This window comes from Homo sapiens, chromosome 20 (genome assembly GCF_000001405.40).
Source record: "Homo sapiens chromosome 20, GRCh38.p14 Primary Assembly".
Lineage (NCBI taxonomy): Eukaryota > Metazoa > Chordata > Mammalia > Primates > Hominidae > Homo > Homo sapiens.
Window position 1 is genome coordinate 16606111 of NC_000020.11, and position 19393 is coordinate 16625503.

At 44.4% G+C, this 19393-nt stretch overlaps 1 long non-coding RNA gene across 1 annotated transcript in view, besides 1 other annotated feature; it reads left to right on the top strand.

The window, feature by feature from the left end:
- Positions 1–4415: 4415 nt before the first annotated feature.
- Positions 4416–19393, top strand: part of LOC105372542 (uncharacterized) — a 29065-nt gene continuing 14087 nt past the window's right edge. Inside the window, exon 1 of the long non-coding RNA XR_937286.3 lies at positions 4416–7558. This is a non-coding gene — a long non-coding RNA (uncharacterized LOC105372542). The remainder of the gene's footprint in view (positions 7559–19393) is intronic.
- Positions 18663–19235: an enhancer, noted in NCBI's record as "H3K27ac hESC enhancer chr20:16605418-16605990 (GRCh37/hg19 assembly coordinates)". NCBI's record gives its function as "activates a minimal SCP1, AML or CMV promoter by ChIP-STARR-seq in naive H9 embryonic stem cells {active_cell/tissue: H9 hESC(naive)}" and the evidence as "EXISTENCE:reporter gene assay evidence [ECO:0000049][PMID:30033119]".

The window sequence follows — 19393 nt, forward strand, 5'->3', positions numbered from 1 at the left end:
CTATCTCTAATGGCACATAGTGGGCTCTCAATAAAATCGAGAAGTTGAGCTGAATTTACAATGGATGACAAGGATGGATTTAGCAACTCACTGTAACGCTGACTGCAAAAAAGTTACATTTTAATTTTAGAGGAAAGCAAATAGGTTGTTCAAGTAATTTAAACCCATGGGGAAAAGCAAATTGGGACAAAGGCATGCCAATCACAATTCAGTAACCTACACAACCTGGCCTTATAGCCCAGACCATATCATCTTCTGGACCTGACCAATAGGCCCTGCCTGGGCACACTTACTCTTGGAGGTGTCTGGCCCTGGAGAAGAGGGAAAGATGTGTTTGGTGGCCTGGGCTCACTTTCCTTTGGCCTTCAAGTCAACAAGTTCTCCAGTAAGTACAACCAAGAGATGCTGGGTACACATCACGTACTCAAGACTGTGGCTTGGTGTCTGTGGTTATAGAAGAATGCTGGAGCACAACAACGTGGCGCATGGCCTCTCAATGGTCCAGGTCCAGTGCTGCTGGGCATACAATTTTCAATGCCTGAAATCCATGACATGTTTATCAGAAAGAGTATGCTAGTTTATGCTGCAATAACAAACATCCCCCAAATATCAGAGGCTTAATTCAACAAAATTTATTTCTTACTTCCCTACAGGCCTAGCATAGATCAGTATAGGGATTGTGCTCTTTTTGGCTACTCAGAGATCCAGACTGAGGGAGGTTCCATATACTGGTTCTCAAAGCTTCCACCAGAAGTGACTCATGTCATTTCCATTTCCATTATATTGGCCAAAGTGGGTCACATGGTCACCCTGATTTCACTGGGATGGAGAAATTCAGCCTACCATGTGGCTAGAAGAAGTTGGAACATGGCAAGTGAATGAATGGCTGTTCAAGGTGTGTGCATGCCTCTGCCCCTGATGAAATGCAAATATTCTTGGAACAAGGAGTCCACATTATGCATCAACTGCCATTAATAACCTCATGTGGTTATTATACCCTGTTTTTCTTGAGAAAAGTCTTGATGTGATCAGAAAAGATATCCGTGGAGACCAGAAGAGACAGTAAGCGACTCAGCTCCAGAAAACAGAAAGATCAATTTAGGAGGGGAGAGACAATGGCTTTTCACACTGTCTAGTCCTAATTCTGTCCCTAAGCAGCTAGAAGTTCTTGGACACAACCTTCAACTTCTCAGGGCCTTGGCTCCTAGTAACGTTCTGAGGCTACTGGAGGATATTATTACTAAGCCAGAGGTCACTTCACCAACATATTAAATAATCACACTCTCACAGACAAGGAAACTCACACATGGACAGACAGAGAAAGAGAGACAGGAAGAGGAGAGAAAGAATATAACAAAGCGCTAGCATGAATGCAAGTAGAGAGAAAGTCAATGTTTTAAAGGCAACGAGACGTTGTCTTCTGAGTCTCCCCAGCTCACCACTCCCTACAAGGCTCTCAGTCCTACGGGATTTACATTGGGGTCTTTCCAAATGGCAGGCTAGGTCTCAAAACATTTCCAGTGTCAATTTGAGAAAGAACAAATATTCATACCAGATAGAGAGGGAAAGAACCTGCTCTCTTTTACATCTAGAGCTGCCCTTGAAAATGTGAGTTTATTAACCTCGAAAGAGGCCGGGGAAAGTAGAAAGGGCTCTGAGGACAAAGTTCAGCCAAGAGAGACGTTGGGGGCAGGTTTTATTGGTCATATAACCTCTTCCTGCGGGAATTTTATGAGGCGCTGTCAGGCAGCAGAAGCCGCCTGACTGCTGGGTATCGGAGGGGCTAGGTTTGAAAGCATATTTTCTGTAGGGTCTTGATGTATTTTTAAGAAGGCAGGCAGGAATTATGTATTCCTCCTGGTATAGGATTTCTCATTTTTCTTCCAGCAGAAGTGGGAATGGATTGCTCTGAGATTTGCAAGCTTCCTGTGCATTCGGGAGGGTGGCAGTTAGAATGACAGTAATGACTTAGGTCTCCTCTGAGGGTGGTTCCTTCATTACTGGGCCCCTCCACTGCTCCCCTTCCCCCTCTGTTAGTCACAGCTGTACACCCTGCAGCTAGCCTGTCTCTTTCTGGGACAGCCTGTCAGCCACACCTGCTACTGCCCCAAATGGGGCACTAGAGACTGTGGGGCAAACCCTACAGGATTCCTTTCTCCTTTTACCCTGGCAGCACATGTGCATACACACATCTTGTACACGCAGACATACAAGAGAACTTGCATTTCAAAGAACACTGTGAGCAATTTGAGAAATGAATAGTGAATCCTGAAAAGGGAGGTGAGGAAATGGGGAGAGCCAGCCCCACTCACTTCTATTTGGGGAAGGGCAAGGAGCCAAGGTTGTTGGTTAATCACATGTACCAGGACAGCAAAGCAAAGCAAAGGACTGATTTTCATAATCTACACACAAGACTCAAATCTTTACCACATTTCCTTAAAAAACAAATCTGAAAGTGGCCATCTGCCACTCTACGCAGCATTGTGGAAAGAATCCCACAAATGTCACATTGAGCAAAAGACAGCAGACACAAATGAGTACTATATACACTTATTTATGTTAAAAAAAAAAAGGGAGGGTGCAAAATTCATGAGTGGCTAGAAAAAGTCATGAGGGCCTTCTGTGGGCTGGTCGTGTCCTGGTTCTTGATCTGGGTGCCAGTTATGTGAAAGTATTAAATTTGTGAAAATGCATCCCTTTTCTGCATAAAACTACAACAAAAATTTGATCATGCCTCTCCCCTGCTTCAAGGAGTTCCTTGGCTGGCCATTGTCTGTAATGACAAATGTCACTCCTCCATGAAACCTTCCTTGACCTCCTTCATCTTTCCCTACTTAGTTATAACACAGGCTGATTACCTGGCAATGTTTGATCCGTGTATTTCCTCATTAAAACATGAATATCTGTAGGGCAGTGCCTGGGTCTTACTCATCTTTTGGGCCCAGGTACCTGGTACAGTACGTGGCGTATAGAAGACACCCTATAGATGCTTGATAAATAATAGATAATTGAATGAATGATGCGCAACTCCATAGTCCGTTCTTGTTAGAGCCCCAGATCATCTTGGCGCTAGCAGCATGGGTCACGGGCATTCCAGGACTCATGGTGCTTTTGGAAAGGGAAGTGTGTTAGGAGGCAGCTTCCTGTGTTCACAGCTCCCACAGCTTGACCCACCACTCACCCCTGGACTCAGTCTGACCTCTGACCCCACCACTCCACTAAAAGATCTTTAGCTTAGGTCTATAACGACTTTCTAAATGTCAAATCCAGCAGACTTTTCTTGAGCGTTATTATGCGTGAGTTCTTTGAGACATCTGATATTGTTGAGCACTCATTTTCTTAAAACTTTGTCCTTTGCTGGCTTCTCAGACAATACTCTCTTATTCCTCCTCCCTGAAAGTTTCTCCCCAGACTTGTCTACTGGCTCCTTGTTCTCTGCTCCCATGCACTCAGGCCGGAGGCCATCGTCTCTTCTCTCTTCTCACTCTCCTACACCCACCTCCCATATGCTGAAGTCTCCCAGCTCTGGGATGCTGAGATCCAATGTCTTACTGAGGAGCTCCTTGTGGTTGCCCCACAGATGTCCCAAGACACAATATCTGACCCTGTACTTCTCTTTTTTCTCTTCCTAACCTACTCCTTTTCTTTTCTGAAGACACTAGTTTTGGGAAACAGTGTCACCATCCACCTCTTCACCCAAGCCGTAAACCTGGAGCCATCCTAGATGCTTCCCCAGCCCTCACCATCCTAACAAATCAGCTCCAAGTCCTGTAGATGCTTCCTGCTTGACATCTCACCTGCAGGTTGCCTCTTCCTCACTCTCATTCCAATTGCCTTGATGCTGGCTCCTGACATCTGTAACTCCAAGTTTTGCAGTAATCTTCTAGTCTTTCCCCATTTCTAGTGTTCCACTTTTCTAGCCATGTTTTATTCTGGGTCAGCAGGATCTTCCTAAAATGCAAATCAGATCATGTCACTTCTCTGCCTCAAATTCTTGCCTACAGATTAGTTGCAAAGTCCTAACACTGACCACAAAGGCCTTACATGATCTGGCCTGGTCTGTGATTTCCTCTCTAGCTTTCTCTCCCACCACCACCCACTTTGCCCTCAGCATTCAAGAACATATTCTTCTTCTTTTAAAAATCCAGGATGTGCTGGGCACAGTGGCTCACACCTGTAATCCCAATACTTTGGGAGGCTGAGGTGGGTGGATCACCTGAGGTCAGGAGTTCGAGACCAGCCTGACCAATAAGGTGAAACTTTGTCTCTACTAAAAATACAAAAATTAGCTGGACATGGTGGCGTGCGCCTGTAGTCCCAGCTACTTGGGAGGCTGAGACAGGAGAATCACTTGAACCGAGAGGCGGAGGTTGCAGAGTGCCAAGATCACGCCACTGCACTCCAGCCTGGGAGACAGAGTGAGACTCCATCTCAAAAAACAAAACAAAACAAAACAAAAAAATCCAGGATGTTTGGTGCCGCTGTGCCTTTGCCCTTCCTCCAAGTATTCCACCTGCCTAGAATGTCACCCTGCAAGCCACTCGCCCCAGGCCTGGGTTCCCTGCCTAACCCCTGCCTACCTTATCTTTCTAGAGACAACTCAGGCTCACCTCTTCCTGGATGCTTTTCTCAAGCCCCTATTCCTGGGTGGACCTGGCCATGCCTCCTCTGAACTCCAGTGTCTCTGTACACGCCTCTCCCGCAGCACAGGGAGGAGTTTCATCTTCCCCTTCTGATCCTTGGTGGCCATGATAATGTCTTATTTGTGCCTTTGTGTGTATAGTGACCAGCAGAGGGGCACCCAGTCAAATGCCTGTGAAATGTTGTTATTGAATGAATTACCCAGTAACTTTAGTTCTCATGGAGGAAAAGGGAAACAGAACAGAATGGCAAACCCAAAGTCTGAAGGAGAAAACCCACAAATACTGCAATATGACCTATGCAATGGAGAACCATTTTTTTCCCTGCTGCTTGGTAATGGCCTCTTATTTTTCCTTTGGGAAACCAGCCTCGCACCCTTGCATGGAGTATTGCTAGGCTCTCAGGAGTGGGTCAACCAAACCTCTGGAAACTTCAATGAAGTTTTGGTCCTTGTAAGCAAGGACCAAAAATGGTTTCTTCTGTATGGAATCTCAAGACTATGTGAATTCCTGTCCTTTCTGAAACAGGTCAGATTTTTTTTCTATTTTGTGGACACTTAAATCCCTCTAATAAATTATATTTCTCCCTTCCGTGGTCTGGGATGTATTTCTCTGGCTTGCACTTAAAGGACCTTTACAGATAAAACTGTGAAAGTCATCACAATCTTGATTTCTGCTCCCAGTCCCGCCCCAGCTGCTGCCTTCCCAGAAGTCATCCTTCAGGTGTGGTTCTGTCTCAGTCAGCCCCAGTGACTTGCCTGCGGCTGACTTCTGTGAATTCAGGCTTCCATTGTCTACCTGGCTATGACTGTCATAGGGAAGCTGTTAGGGCAGCAGAGGTGCTGATCATTTAGTGACAGGTGCAATCGTTACTACTTCTTTCTAGCATGGGTGTTGTCTGACTTGGTGGGAGTGAGCAGGAAGGGAAGATGGTGGTGTTGGGGTTGGAACTACAGAATGGATGAAGTGAGAGGAGGGCAGAGGAGTCACAAGGAAGGACAAAGTAGTCAAAGTATAAAAACATCTCAACTACCATTTGGGGCCAAGGTTGAGTCTCTTATGGATTTTGCTTGGAGGACACTTTGGCCAGCTGTTTTTATGTTACCAGAAGTGGGAAGATTAATACATGGGTATTGGTCCAGATGGAAACAGGGCATATCTGGCTTCTGCATACTTATCTTCCAAAAGCTCATTTATAAAGCAGTTGTGTGGAACTCGGTATGTGTGTTCTCATGGAAGCAAAGTAATAAAGGGTGGCCATAAAAGCTCAAGTTAAGCCGGATCACAGCCGGGCCACTCCACATGCGGAGGCTCCATCTACCACGGTGAGGAGAGCTGGCCTGGAGATAGAGCTGATGCTGGACAAGCCGGGCTTAGTGATGGAGGGAGGAGACTGAGGCATCATTTGAGCCCCTGAATCTGTCTGTGCCTGCAGCACCTCTTACAAAGTTCCTGGTGATGCAGTCCCAGCCTCAGTAGACTCTCTTGTCCAAAATCTTCCTTGCACAACCACCACAAGCACCACAAACTACTCCTCTTTCCCTCTTTAGAATCCCAATGTCACATATTGCCTGTGGCTCTCAACTCAAATCTTAAAATGGACAGAGTTAAGTACCTTGCCCTTCTCAATCAGATGCCACCAGAAAGGAAAAATGAATGAAATGCAGTCACCATCCTTAGCTCAAAGCCTGGTGAGAGGGATAGAACAAATACAACTGATTGATGAAGCACAGAGAGGAAAAGCAACTTGGCCAAAGACACACGGCTCATTATCATGGGGTTTGAGTTCAAACCCAGACAGTCTGATTCCAGAGCCTGGCAAATTTGACTGCTGCTCATATTATCTCTCTTTCAACTGTGAAAGATGTATTCATAGGCATTTTTCTCAAGTTTTTATTTGAAAAGGCTTTGCCCAATGGCCCACAAAGACCTGGGGTGAAGGCAGGAGCTGGAATGGGTTTGTCCTTACCCAAATTTATCCTTCACTGGCCTGATGCTGCATGGTGGTTCCTGGGGATAACTGTTCCTCTGGTCCAAAGTATCACAATCTAAACAGATTTGCAGATGTTCAGCTTCCGTTTTGCCTTTATCAAGTTCAACTGACAGTCCAGTGGGACTGGTTGCATTTGTGCCATGCACTCCAGCCCTCTCCCTCCCACTCCCCACCCCAGCATGTTTCCCTGAGGAACTGGGAGAAGCTGCAGCTGTTGCCTCTGGTTTCCTTCAGCTCCTGCCACAGCAGCAGTTCTTCAAAATTTCATTACTTGTCTATATTTTCAGTAAAGTCACTCAACACTCACCGTTGTCCTGCTTTCCCCAGAGCATGTCACCTTCAGTCTTCAAGCACCAGATAATTAAGTTGCTAGCAAGGTGCTGCAGAGAGGGAAGCCATGCTGGAAATCCCAGGCTGGCAGAAACCTGGAGTGGAACTCTCTTCTTAGGACTTCATTTCCATGGCCAGAAGGAAAGCAGCCTTCCCTAAATTGCACCTGCCTCAAAGCTCTATTGCCTTGACCTCAATTAAAAAAGAAATTACGACAACATCCTTTAAAGAATGCCACTAACAGCCTCTTGGCCTTCTACGGGATACAGCAGCCAATTTGCTGGTCTGTCTCTATAGAAATTGTTTCTCCACTGTGTGGAGAAAATAAAATCCAAGATGGAGATGGTTATGTAAGAGGTATCTAAATGGGATCTGCGGGGCATAAGGAGTTGGATCCCAGTCATGTGCACACCCAGATGAAATCTGACTTGTTGAACTGGGCCAAATTGTAACACCAACTGCATTTGACTTGTACTGTTTATACTGGGCCTGATCACCAGCTTCCTGGAAAGACAGCTAGGCCAAACAAGACTGAAAGACATCCTAAGCTGTTAACCAGCCATCATCAATCATGCACTATATGAAAACCTTCCAGGTATGTAAACTTACAGTAAACCTTTATAAGCCCCTGCCCAACCTTGCCTGATGGAGCCGCTTGCTAGATCTGTGTGTCCTGAATTGCAATTCTTAAGACCCTGATGAAAACACCTTTTGTTTGTTTGTTTTACTGCAGTGTTGGTTTTGTTTCTTTTTAGCTGACAACTGTCTCAACAACAGATTTCTTTTACCCATGTGATTGCTACTTAAAATGGGGTCAATGCCCACATCCCCTGGCAGCTTATTAGAAATGTAAAGTCTCCACCCCCATCCCAGATCTTCTGAATCAGAATCTTCAGTTTAAGAAGCTCCCCAAGTGATGTACCTTTAAGTTAGAAAAACACAGATCTAGACCAGTGGTTCTCAAACTTTCCTGAGCATTCAAGTCCCTGGGGGGCTTGTTAAAACCCGGATAGCTGGGCCTCACTCCAGGGTTTCTGATTCTTTTGATCTGGAGGGAGGCCCGAGAATTTGCATTTCTAACCAGTTCCGAGATGACGTAGACATTACTTGCTGAGAACCACACGTTGAACATCCCCAAGATAGATCATCACTTCAGAAACCGTGATGAAAGCTCTTTCTTCCTTCATTTTCAATCCATTGCAGACTGATTCTTTTGTAAAATATAATAAACATAAATTATAAAAAAATAGAAAAGACATGAAACAAAGCCCTGATTGATTAACGTTATTGTTAGATTCAACAGACATAAAATTACTGTCAAATTGCTGTAAGAGTTTCTAAACATTTACTCAATTTCTGAACTTATCTAACACAGACCCGTGACAAAGAGTTTGGAGATCTTGCTTTGAGTAGCACTGGTCACAGCAGCAACTCTAAAGTACAGTAGGGATACCCCTGGGGAACTCCAAGACCCCTTTGGGGGTCCACAAGGTTGAAATAATGTTCGTAATGATGCTAACATGTTAGTATTATTATGTATGGTAGAGTTTTCCAGAGGCTACATGTAATGCAAAGGATTGGACTGCTTTAAATGCAGAAGCAGATGACAGAATACCATCAGTTGTCTTCTTTCAAGCCCGACATTAAGGAGGTTTGCAAAAAATATAAAACAGGCTGAGTGTGGGGGCTCACACCTATAATCTCAGCACTTTGGGAGGCTGAGGAGGGAGGCTTACCTGAGACCATGAGTTTGAGACCAGCCTGGGCAACACAGCGAGACCTCCATCTCCACAAAAATAAAAATATTAAAATTAGCCAGTCGTGGTAGCATGCACCTGTAGCCCCAGCTACTTGGGAGGCTGAGGTGGGAGGATCATCTGAGGCTTCAGTGAGCTATGATCGTGCCACTATACTTCAACCTAGGGGACACAGAGCAAGACCCTCTCTCTAAAAATAAATAAGGTAAAACAGTGTCACTCTTGATTATTTCTGATTTTTTTGGTTTCAGAAAATAGTTATTTTTATAAAATATAACAATGAATCTGTTACTATTATTAAATTAAATTGTTGAAGCCCCTCAGTTTTAATATCTACTGTGATAAATATGGACTGTACAGCTCACATAAACAAAAGCTCTTTATAGTTCTTGATAGTTCTGAAGGATGTAAAGGGGCCCAGAGCCCAAACCGTTTGAGAACAGCTGGTCCCAGTCATCTTCTGAGAACAATTGCACTCATCTTGCTTGCGATTTCCAAATGCCTGAGTCTGCGGAAACGCAGGCCTGAGGAATTTGGAGCAGAACTGCAGTAGGCTGCCTTCTTTCTAAGTTGAACAGTAGGAAAAAGAGGGGTGTAGAGTGTAATTACGTTTTACTTGTTGGCTGTCTGCCCATACATAGGCCAGGGTAGAGCTTGTGACTCATTCTCTATTTGTTCCATTTAGGACTCTGTTGAGCTTCAAGTTACAGATATCACCAAAACCGTGGCTTCGGCAAATTAGATTTGTTTTTCTCACATAACAAGAAATATGGAGGTCCATTTTAGTGGTTTAATAATGCCACTAGTGACTGATTCTTTCTTGATTTTTGCTCCCATATATTTAGTGTATGGTCTTCGTTTCTTATGTTCATTTCATGGTTCCATCTACTTTCCAAAGATGGGGAAGGGTGAAAGGCAAAGGTGTCTGCTGATTGAGCCAACCCCCTTCAGTGTTTCCTGCTTGCAACACATGGCCTCTTCTATCTGCAGTGAGCGCTAAGACATGATTTCTAACCAGACGTGCTGCTTGCCTAAATAAAATCAGGATTTTTTTTAACAAGAAAAAGGGGAGAATGGGTATTGGGAGGCAACTGTCAGTATCTGCCACATGCCAGAATCCTTAGAACTTAGCAGAATGCCTAGCCAAGAGTAAGGCTCAATAAATGTTGGTTGGATGAATGAGTGAGCTATATTACATGCACACAATCAGGTCTAAGGGGTCACAAAATGACATCAGAGTCAGATAGAGAATGGTAGTGGGGATAGTAATTGAACTGATCCATGCACTGAAAAAGGAGGGGACCCTTCTACCCCCTCATCACTCACTTTCTCTTAGGCCTTCCCTGAGGTCTTTATGTTCTTACCTCTGCAAGTTCTTTTCCTCCGTTGGCCCCTGGTACCTATATGGTGACCCTTAATGGAGCAGTCCTGAGGCTCTAGAAAAACTTACAGCAGCCTTATCTTCCCAAAGTGCTCTAGCCCCTAAAATACTCCTCCTTTACGCCAAAAGATTCTCTTTTCAGCTGTGTTTAAAGTGAAACAATTTTTTATTACGAAAAATTTTGAAAATGTAAACATGCAAAAAAGATAAGCAAGACTGCTATAATCTAGAGCAAACCAATCTCAATATTTTGATGCATAGCCTTCTAAAATTTTTCTCTTTCTATATATACTTTCTTGTTTACAAGTTTGGAATACATACTATACTGTTTTGTAATTCCTCAATTTACTCTATCATAAACATTTTTCCATGCCAAGTAACAAATGTGTGCTATAATTCTAAGTGTTGCTACCTTGGATTCCATTGTAATGTTTCATTTGCAATTGATCTCACAAGTTCCCACAGCTCCACAAATCAGACCTCAGGATTCAGATCCACTATGTCAGCTAGGGTCCTATGAGAAGCAAATGCCAAGATAGAAGGAGAAATGCAAAAGATTTAATGGAGGAAATTCTGTACAGGGTAAAGGGGAAGGAAATGTGAGTAGGCAGGGAGACGCTTCAGAGTAGATGCAGGCCTGACTCCTGTGAAAGGAAAAAGAGAAGGAAAGAGGTTTGGGTAGGATGAGTCTATAGACTGCAGTACAGCTCTGAGAAAGTCACAGCCAGGACAGTGAGGAGCCTCACAGCAAGAATTGTCCATTAGGAAAGTCCTGATAGAAATGGCCTGGTTCTTGGACCCTCATGGAGTTTAATCATTTGCTGGCAGCCACCTGAGTGTGAACATTACAGTGGATCTGAAGTTGCAGCAGCTGGAGGCTCTTAGCCAAGGACATTCCTCTCAGTAGGTCCTCTTAGAAGTTCATGGATGTCATGTGAATTCTCACAGAGATTCTGTAATTTCCAGCAGAGTATGTAAATGGAGCAGAACCTAATTAGTCTAGAATAATGGGCCAACTATCCTGTGCCCAGAGACTAAGCTCTTTTATTAGGGAAAATGTTTAGGAAGCCACTCCCATACACTGGCCCTTTCTGGCAGTAGTCAGGGGACTTAATGCTTTCACAGTATTGACTGCGGATGAGCTGTTCGCTTAGCTGACAACAAAAGAAGGACAACCAAGTCAGTATAAGCAATAATTAGGAGAGAAGTAAGTCCATGGTGCATGGTACAAAGACTCATGTGCTTGCTAAGAACAATAACTCTCTCAGGCCAAGGCAGGAATGCATTCTGTGTCCCTCATAATATGCATCAATCTGACAGTCTGTATTGATCTCTAAAGATTGACTGTGACTACTTTTGAAGCATGCCTCTTTTGGCTAGCACTGACTGGTGGCCCTTTTTAACTGTTTCAGCACACTTTGTTTCTCCCTCTAATCCAGGGAATGAAAACTCAAATTTATATGAGAGGCTGCCCCCTAGAAGCTGAGCCTGGTACAGGAATTTTGGTGCATTTGACTTGCTGCAGATGTACTCTCTGAATAGGGTGTGAGGGAAGCAGGGTGGAGTTGGGGAAGAAGCTGAGCTAGGATATAGCCTCAGCTGTAGTCCTGCTTCAGACTGATTCCACAGGGAGCTCTGGTGCCTGAGTTGTACCACAAAGTTAGTCCCACCTGGAGACAAGGAGACCTGTTTTTTGTACATCTATATTGGTCAGTCATTGGCAAGGCTGCTCCTTATGGGAAAGAGCACAAAATCTTCTGGGGAGGCAGCTCCTATTTGACTGAAAAGGGGGCAGCTGGGAACTGTGTATCTTAAACAAAAGCCTTAGGCCAGGTGTGTTGGCTCATGCCTGTAATCCCAACACTTTGGGAGGCCAAGGTGCATGGATCACTTGAGGTCAGGAGTTCAAGACCAGCCTGGCCAACATGGTGAAACCCCATCTCTACCAAAAAAATACAAAAGTTAGCCAGGCATGGTGGTGGGCACCTGTAGTTCCAGCTACTCAGGAGGCTGAGACAGAAGAATTACTTGAACCTGGGAGGTAGAGGTTGCATTGAGCCGAGATTGTACCGCTGCACTCCAGCTTGGGCAACAGACTGCGACTCCATCTCAAAAAAAAAAAAAAAAAAAAAGCAAAACAAAAGAAAGTCTTATGATTCCAACATCAGAAGTCCTACCTATAGGAAAAATGGGGATGCAGCTGGGTGCGGTGGCTCACGCCTGTAATCCCAGCACTTTGGGAGGCCGAGGTGGGTGGATCACCTGAGGTCAGGAGTTCGAGACCAGCCTGACCAACATGGTGAAACCCCATCTCTACTAAAAATACAAAAATTAGCTGGGTGTCATGGTGGGTGCCTGTAATCCCAGCTACTTGGGAGGCTGAGACGGGAGAATTGCTTGAACAGTTGCAGGAGGTGAAGGTTGCAGTCAGCCAAGATCACACCATTGCACTGCAGCCTAGGAGACAGAGTAAAACTCCGTCTCAAAAAAAAAACTGGGGGGGAGGGGTGCAAATCGTCAGTATATATATTAATAAAATAGTTATAATTAAGCATTAATCAGGCTGGACTTTAACCCACTTCATTGTAACTGACAGTCTCACAGCACTAGATACTGGCCATTTGCATCTCCATTGTTCCCATAGATAGGATTTTTGATGTTAGAATCATAAGTCTTTTGTTTAAGAATTGCTTAAGGTGTTTTTGAGATCCAGAATTCCAGTGAAACGGCTGACACCAACTAGTCTGAAAACTCACACAGAGGAAAGAAATCAGCATGAGAGGCCGGGCGTAGTGGCTCACGCCTGTAATCCCAGCACTTGGGGAGGCCGAGGCGGGCGGATCACGAGGTCAGGAGATCGAGACCATCCTGGCTAACACGGTGAAACCCTGTCCATACTAAAAATACAAAAAATTCGCCGGGCGTGGTGGTGGGCGCCTGTAGTCCCAGCTACTCGGGAGGCTGAGGCAGGAGAATGGCGTGAACCCTGGAGGCGGAGCTTGCAATGAACGCCGAGATGGCGCCACTGCCCTCCAGCCTGGGCGACAGAGCGCGACTCCGTCTCAAAAAAAAAAAAAAAGAAAGAAATCAGTATGAGAATACAGTTTCTTCATCTCCCTGTCCTATGACTTCACCCTGCACTCTTTGACCAATCAATGATCTCCACATTTCAGCCCACTCCAAACCCCTGAAAACCTCTGTCCCCATACATCTTGGGGAGACAGATGTGAGGCTTCCTCTTGTCTCCTCGTTCAGCAGTTTTGTGATTATACCTCTTTCTCTGCTGCAACCCGGTGTCTCAGCATATTGACCTGGCTGTGCACATCAAGCAATGGACCTATTACTGCTACAATCACATCCATTCACACTCCAGCCAGCAGGAAGGAGAAAGGGCAAAGAAGGGCAAGCACCGGCCTTTGAAGGATGTTTCCTGGAAGTTGCAGAATATATAAGTGAAAATATAAGCATTTTCACTTACATCCTGTTGGTTAGGAGGTAACTACATAGCCACATCCAAGTGGAAGGAAGGCTGAGAAATGCTTTACACTTTCGGCCCAACCTACTTTTCTTATTTATTCCCTTTTACTCATCTTCATAAATTGCTCATTCATTAACTTTCTCACACATTCACCTTCACTTGCTCATTAAATATTTACTAGTATCTATTTTGTGCTATACCTTATACTATCCATTAGATAGTCAGGGGTAGATCAGGGCCATTGTACTCAAAGAGTTTCTATTTGATAGGGGTGAACAATACTATGAAATGAGTGAGAACAATACATTCTTATAGGTGCTAAGAAATATTTCTGCAGAAGGGACAAAGGCTGGAATGGTGGATTTTACTTGGGGGAACTAGAAAATATTCATCAAGGAAGTGACTTTTGAACTGCATATTGACAAAGGCTAAATTAGATATGTGGGAAGGGCATTTCAGGCAGAGAGCATAGCAGGAACAATGGCTTGGGGTTGTACACAGCATGACCCATTTCAGAAATGGCAAGACTCTGGCAAGTGAGAATCTATGGTGCAACAGGGGCTGGGAGGTAGAGGAAGGAGACTGGGGGCAGCTGAAGTTGAGGATACAGGCAGGGGCGGATTCTGGAAGATCTTAAAATTATCATAAGGCTGTGAGTTGCCAACTTCCAGCACAAGCACCTTATATTTATTTATTTATTTACAGATAGGGTTTTGTTCTGAAACCCAGCCAGGAGTGTGGTGCAATCATAGCTCACTACAGCCTTAACCTCCTGGGCTTGAGTGATCCTCCCACCTCAGCCTCCCAAGCATCTAAGACTACAAGCATGCATTTCCACACCGAGTTAAAGCATCTATTTTTTGAGGGCTTCTGTACGTTTGGGAGCTTGCTCTGTCCATATGCTTGACAGGCTAGAAATAACTGAAAAATTATCACTTCCCTCTTCCCCCAGGAATAGCCTTGAACCAATGATTAAAAAGAGTTGGTGGCTCCTTGGCCCTGAGCCCCAGTTGCCCAAATAGTAACTCAAATAGTAACTTGGTTGGCAACTTACCTTTTATTGGTCTCCATCCCTTCTCTTATTCTCTTTTCTCTTTAAGGGTATTTTTTGGAATCAACTTCTAAATATATTTCTTGCACTAGAATTCTGCCTCTGGGTTGACTTCTAGGGGAACTACACAAAACAATTGTGTGACTTTTACTAAAGGTAGATTGGCACCATGGGATGACTATTTACTAACAGCCTTAGCAAAGTAAGCTTATTGAAGTGAGGACTTGGTCTCATTTATCCTTGAACTCCTTGGCCCATAAAAGGCACACAACACACATTTGTTACATAAATGAATCAAACTTGTCGGATAACTTTAAGGTAAACGTTAGACAACCCCAGTTCAGAAATGACGCTGGACAGGGACTTTCTCACCAGCTGACTTTCTTTGTAAACTCCTCTGCCATCCTCCCTCAGGCTACCTGTTCCATCTTGAAGACCCTACTTATCTTTCGCCTCCTCAGGCTATTAAGATTCTCCAAATTCCTCTCCCTTTATGTTCAGAACTATTATCCAGCTCTCTGTTTATCTACGTTAACCAATTCTATCATGAGGCCTCTCATTCTCAGAAGCCTCAAGGTATTTTTTCCAAACAAAAACTGCCTCTCCCAGAGGTTATTTCTTAAAATTGAGTATGTTATTCCCTAATCTTGTGGTGAGTTAGGCAAAGCAGATGAAGAAAGGTTTAGCAGGTTTTGGCCTGGGTGTTGTTTCTATAATCCCTTGCTACTAGAGAGTCATGTGGCCAAAGGTCTCAAGATTTGTGACTTTCCCAATTTCTTCCTTAGATAACATCACTATTTGGCTAGGAACAGTGGCTAACACCTATCATACCAACACATTGGGAGGGTGAGGTGGGAGGATGGCTTGAGCCCAGGGGTTTGAGACCAGACTGGGCAACATAGTAGAAACCCATCTCTCCAAAACGTTTTTTGAAACCTGGGCACAGTGGTGTGTACCTGCGGTCCCAGCTACTCAAGAGGCTGAGGCGGGAGGACTGCTGGAGCCCAGGAGCTCGAGGCTACAGTGAGCCACTGCACTCCAGCCTGGGTGACAGAGTGAGACCCTGTCTCTATAAAAAACAAACAAATAAAAATCACTAATGTAAAATCTAAGATTGTTTTCTTTTTGAGATGGTTTTCAGACTGACCCCCCACACCAAGACTCGTGACTCATGACTCAACTGGTCCTGTGGCCCCACCCAGAGGTGGACTTAGTGCATGAGGACTGTTTTTCACACTCCTGTGATTTCATCCCCAACCAATCTCTAGACCCCTGCTCACCAGCTTGTCCATAAAACCCCTAACGTCTGAGCCCTCAGGGATCTTGATGTGAGTGCAATGCCACGGTCTCAGTGAATCAGTTTTGTCTGTGCACTGGGCAGGAAGAACTCATCAGGTGATTACACATTTTAGAAACAAACCAACAAAAAATTAAAGGCTGCACTGACTGATGGTCAGTTTTCTGATCTTGAGTATATATTGACTCAAAATGCAACATGAATGAAAAGGTATCTTTTATTGGTCATTATGATCCAACCAAAATAAATTTCTGTCTTATCAACCTTGTTCCCTGAGGAAGATGAAGGAGCTGAGTAATCATAGTCCAAGTCCTTCTCTCTGGGTCTGAAAGGGAGACACACCAGTGAGAAAGAAGCCCCCCTTTATTTACTCAACGCTGGAAGAGGCTAGGTCTGAAAGCAAGGGCAGGGATGGAAAGTTGGCTGTGTCCTGGGATCACTGAGCTGAAATTACAGCTCTCCCTGGTCTAGGGAGGGTGGAGGCCTGTGGGCCCAGCCTTGAACAGAAGAAGTCTGGGATTTCCTCCTCCATCCTGAGATGGACACAGCTGAGCCACTTCCTGCAGGGGCCTCAGGAGAACAAGATGGTGCCATTTTGTTCTCTTTGTCCACATGATTCACAAATGGGGGACTTTTTTTTTCTGTGAGTGCCTGATGTTAAAGAGAACCTAGGTGAACACATGTGTGGGCAGCCTAAAGAGACTTAAGGCAGGCTGGAGCATGTTGCTCCATTCTGTCCAGCCCCTAGAAGATTCCTACTGCTAGCATGGAAGTATGCCTTTCTCATTCTCCCCTCCTCCCATCCTCCCCCTTCCACCCTATCAACTACAAAAATTAGGGGCAGAATCAGGCTAGGAGGAAAACATAACTAATACATAGAACAGGCTCTTTGTCATCTTCTCATAGACTCAGAAAGACCAGCCTAAGAGGTGAGAGAAACCTTTATTCCACACAACCTTTTGGTGACCACACACACTTCCACTTTCCCAAAGCATCCTTATAACTGCCCAGTGAGTTCACTTTGCTTCCTGCGTAGGAAGAGCTGACTTATCAAGAAAAGGGAATTGCAATAGAGAAAGAGTAATTCCTGCACAGCCGGCTGTGCGGAAGACCAGAATTTTGTCATTACTCAAATCGGTCTCCCTAAGCATTCAGGGATCAGAGTTTTTAAGAATAATTTGGCGGGTGCTGGGGGAGGGGCAGTGAGTGAGGAGTGATGATTGGTTGGGTCAGAGATGAAATCACAGGGAGTAGAAGTTGTCTTCTCGCGCTGAGTCAGTTCCTGGGTGGGGGCCACAAGATCGGATGAGCCACTTTATCCATCTGAGTGGTGCCATCAAGTGCAGGGTATGCAAAATATCTCAAGCACTGATCTTAGGTTTTATAACAGTGTTTTTTTTTTTTTTTTTTTGAGATGGAGTCTTGCTCTGTCTCCCAGGCTGGAGTGCAGTGGCACGATCTCGGCTGACTGCAAGCTCCGCCTCCCGAGTTCACCCATTCTCCTGCCTCGGCCTCCTGCGTAGCTGGGACTACAGGCGCCTGCCACCACGCCCGGCTAAGTTTTTGTACTTTTTTTTAGTAGAGACGGGGTTTCACCGTGTTAGCCAGGATGGTCTCGATCTCCTGACCTCGTGATCCGCCCGCCTCGGCCTCCCAAAGTGCTGGGATTACAGGACCGTGCCGGGCCTATAATAGTGATTTTATCCCTAGGAGCAATTTGGGGAGGGTCAGAATCTTTTAGCCGCTAGCTGCATGACTCCTAAATCATAATTTCTTAACTTTTGGCTAATTGTTAGTCCTATAAAGGCAGTCTAGTCCCAAGGCAAGAAGGGGGTTTGTTTTGGGAAAGGGCTGTTATCATCCTTGTTTCAAACTAAAGACTATAAACTAAGTTCTGTCCAAAGTTAGTTTGGCCTACACCCAGGAATTAACAAGGACAGCTTGGAGGTTAGAAGCAAGATGGTGTAGGTTAGGTCAAGTCTCTTTCACTGTCTCAGTTATAATCCTGCAATGGTGGTTTCATTAGAATTTTTCAAATGTCACATGTATAGGAACACGAGTGAAGCAACAATGACCAATAGGAAAACAAGAAAATCTAGACAGGAACAAAGGTAGAGAAAGCAGTTCTGGGCCAAGGAAAACCCACTCAGTGTCACCCTCAGCTGCTAGGGACGAACATTCTTGCAGGCAGTGTAGATGAGGTGGGGCTGGAAGTGGGAGGGATGAGAGTTGTCAAGAGCCCAGAATCTGAATGCCTGAGTTCAAGGCCTGGCTATCTCATTTGTGTGACCTCAGGCAAGTCAGTAAACATCCTTTGTCTGTTTTCTTATCTGTTAATCTCAGGACACACCTATTTTAGGGATTAGATTTGTTGGAGAATTCTTTCCTCAGAGCTTAGTCACAACAAGTGCTAAATACATGTCTATTATTAGTGGTAGTACAAGTAGTAGTATTATGATATCATCATAAATGAAATTAGCTATTATTAATTACAAAAAATCAGGCAGAAACATAGTTACAGGCCCTTATTAACTCGTGCTATTAAGCCTTTCTCTAGTGGCCATAAATCCCCAAAGTTTTTTATTTTATTTTATTTTATTTTATTTTTTATATATATACCTAAAGCATCATTGTTAGGCTATGCCCTGAAGCAGTGTCAGTCTTCTAAAAACATGAACAAATAATCATCTTTGTGTGGACTTTTAGGGTAATCAAATCTTCCTTTCCAGAGTCCTATTAGAGGGAACATGCCCTCTTTCTTATAAAGGATTTTAAAGTCACTGTTGGGGCTCAGAAACTGATACCCCAAAATAAAATGCATGGACATGCTGAGCTGAAGAAAAAGCAGAAGAAGCCTCAAGGTCCTCCCCTACCTAAGATCCAGACCCACCAGGAAGAACAATTGCTTTTTCTCACCCTCCCTGCAAGACCAAGAATGTAACCACACCTGAGCAGACCCATTCTCTGTCAAAGAAAACTATTTACAAATCTTCCTTGGGGTCCATGCCTTCTCACTAGTAAATCTTCAACAGAGTTCCTCTTCTCCTCCCTTCCATAATCTGTTTTTCCAAGATGATATATATGCCTCCGAATCTCACTGGATGATTGGGTCCCCTGTATACATGTTAAATAAAAAAGGCTCACCTGTATACATGTTAAATACATTTGTGTTCCCTTAATACAATTAATAATTCTCTTAATAGGGAATTAATTCCCTATGAATTATGCTCATGTCAGTGATTTTTGAACCTCATCAGAGTGTGAGGCCCCTACTTCAAGCTCTGATGCTCAGGGCTGGACTTAGTGCCAGAAGGAACTAGGATATCAACTGGTGTGCATTCTCAGTCTCTCTTCCATGCAGCATGATCTGAGGGATATGCTGGCTTTGGCAGCTATCTCCTTCCTTGCTCCTCCCTTCTTTTCTTCCTTCCCTCCCTCCCTGTCTTTCTTTTTTCTGTTTGTTGTA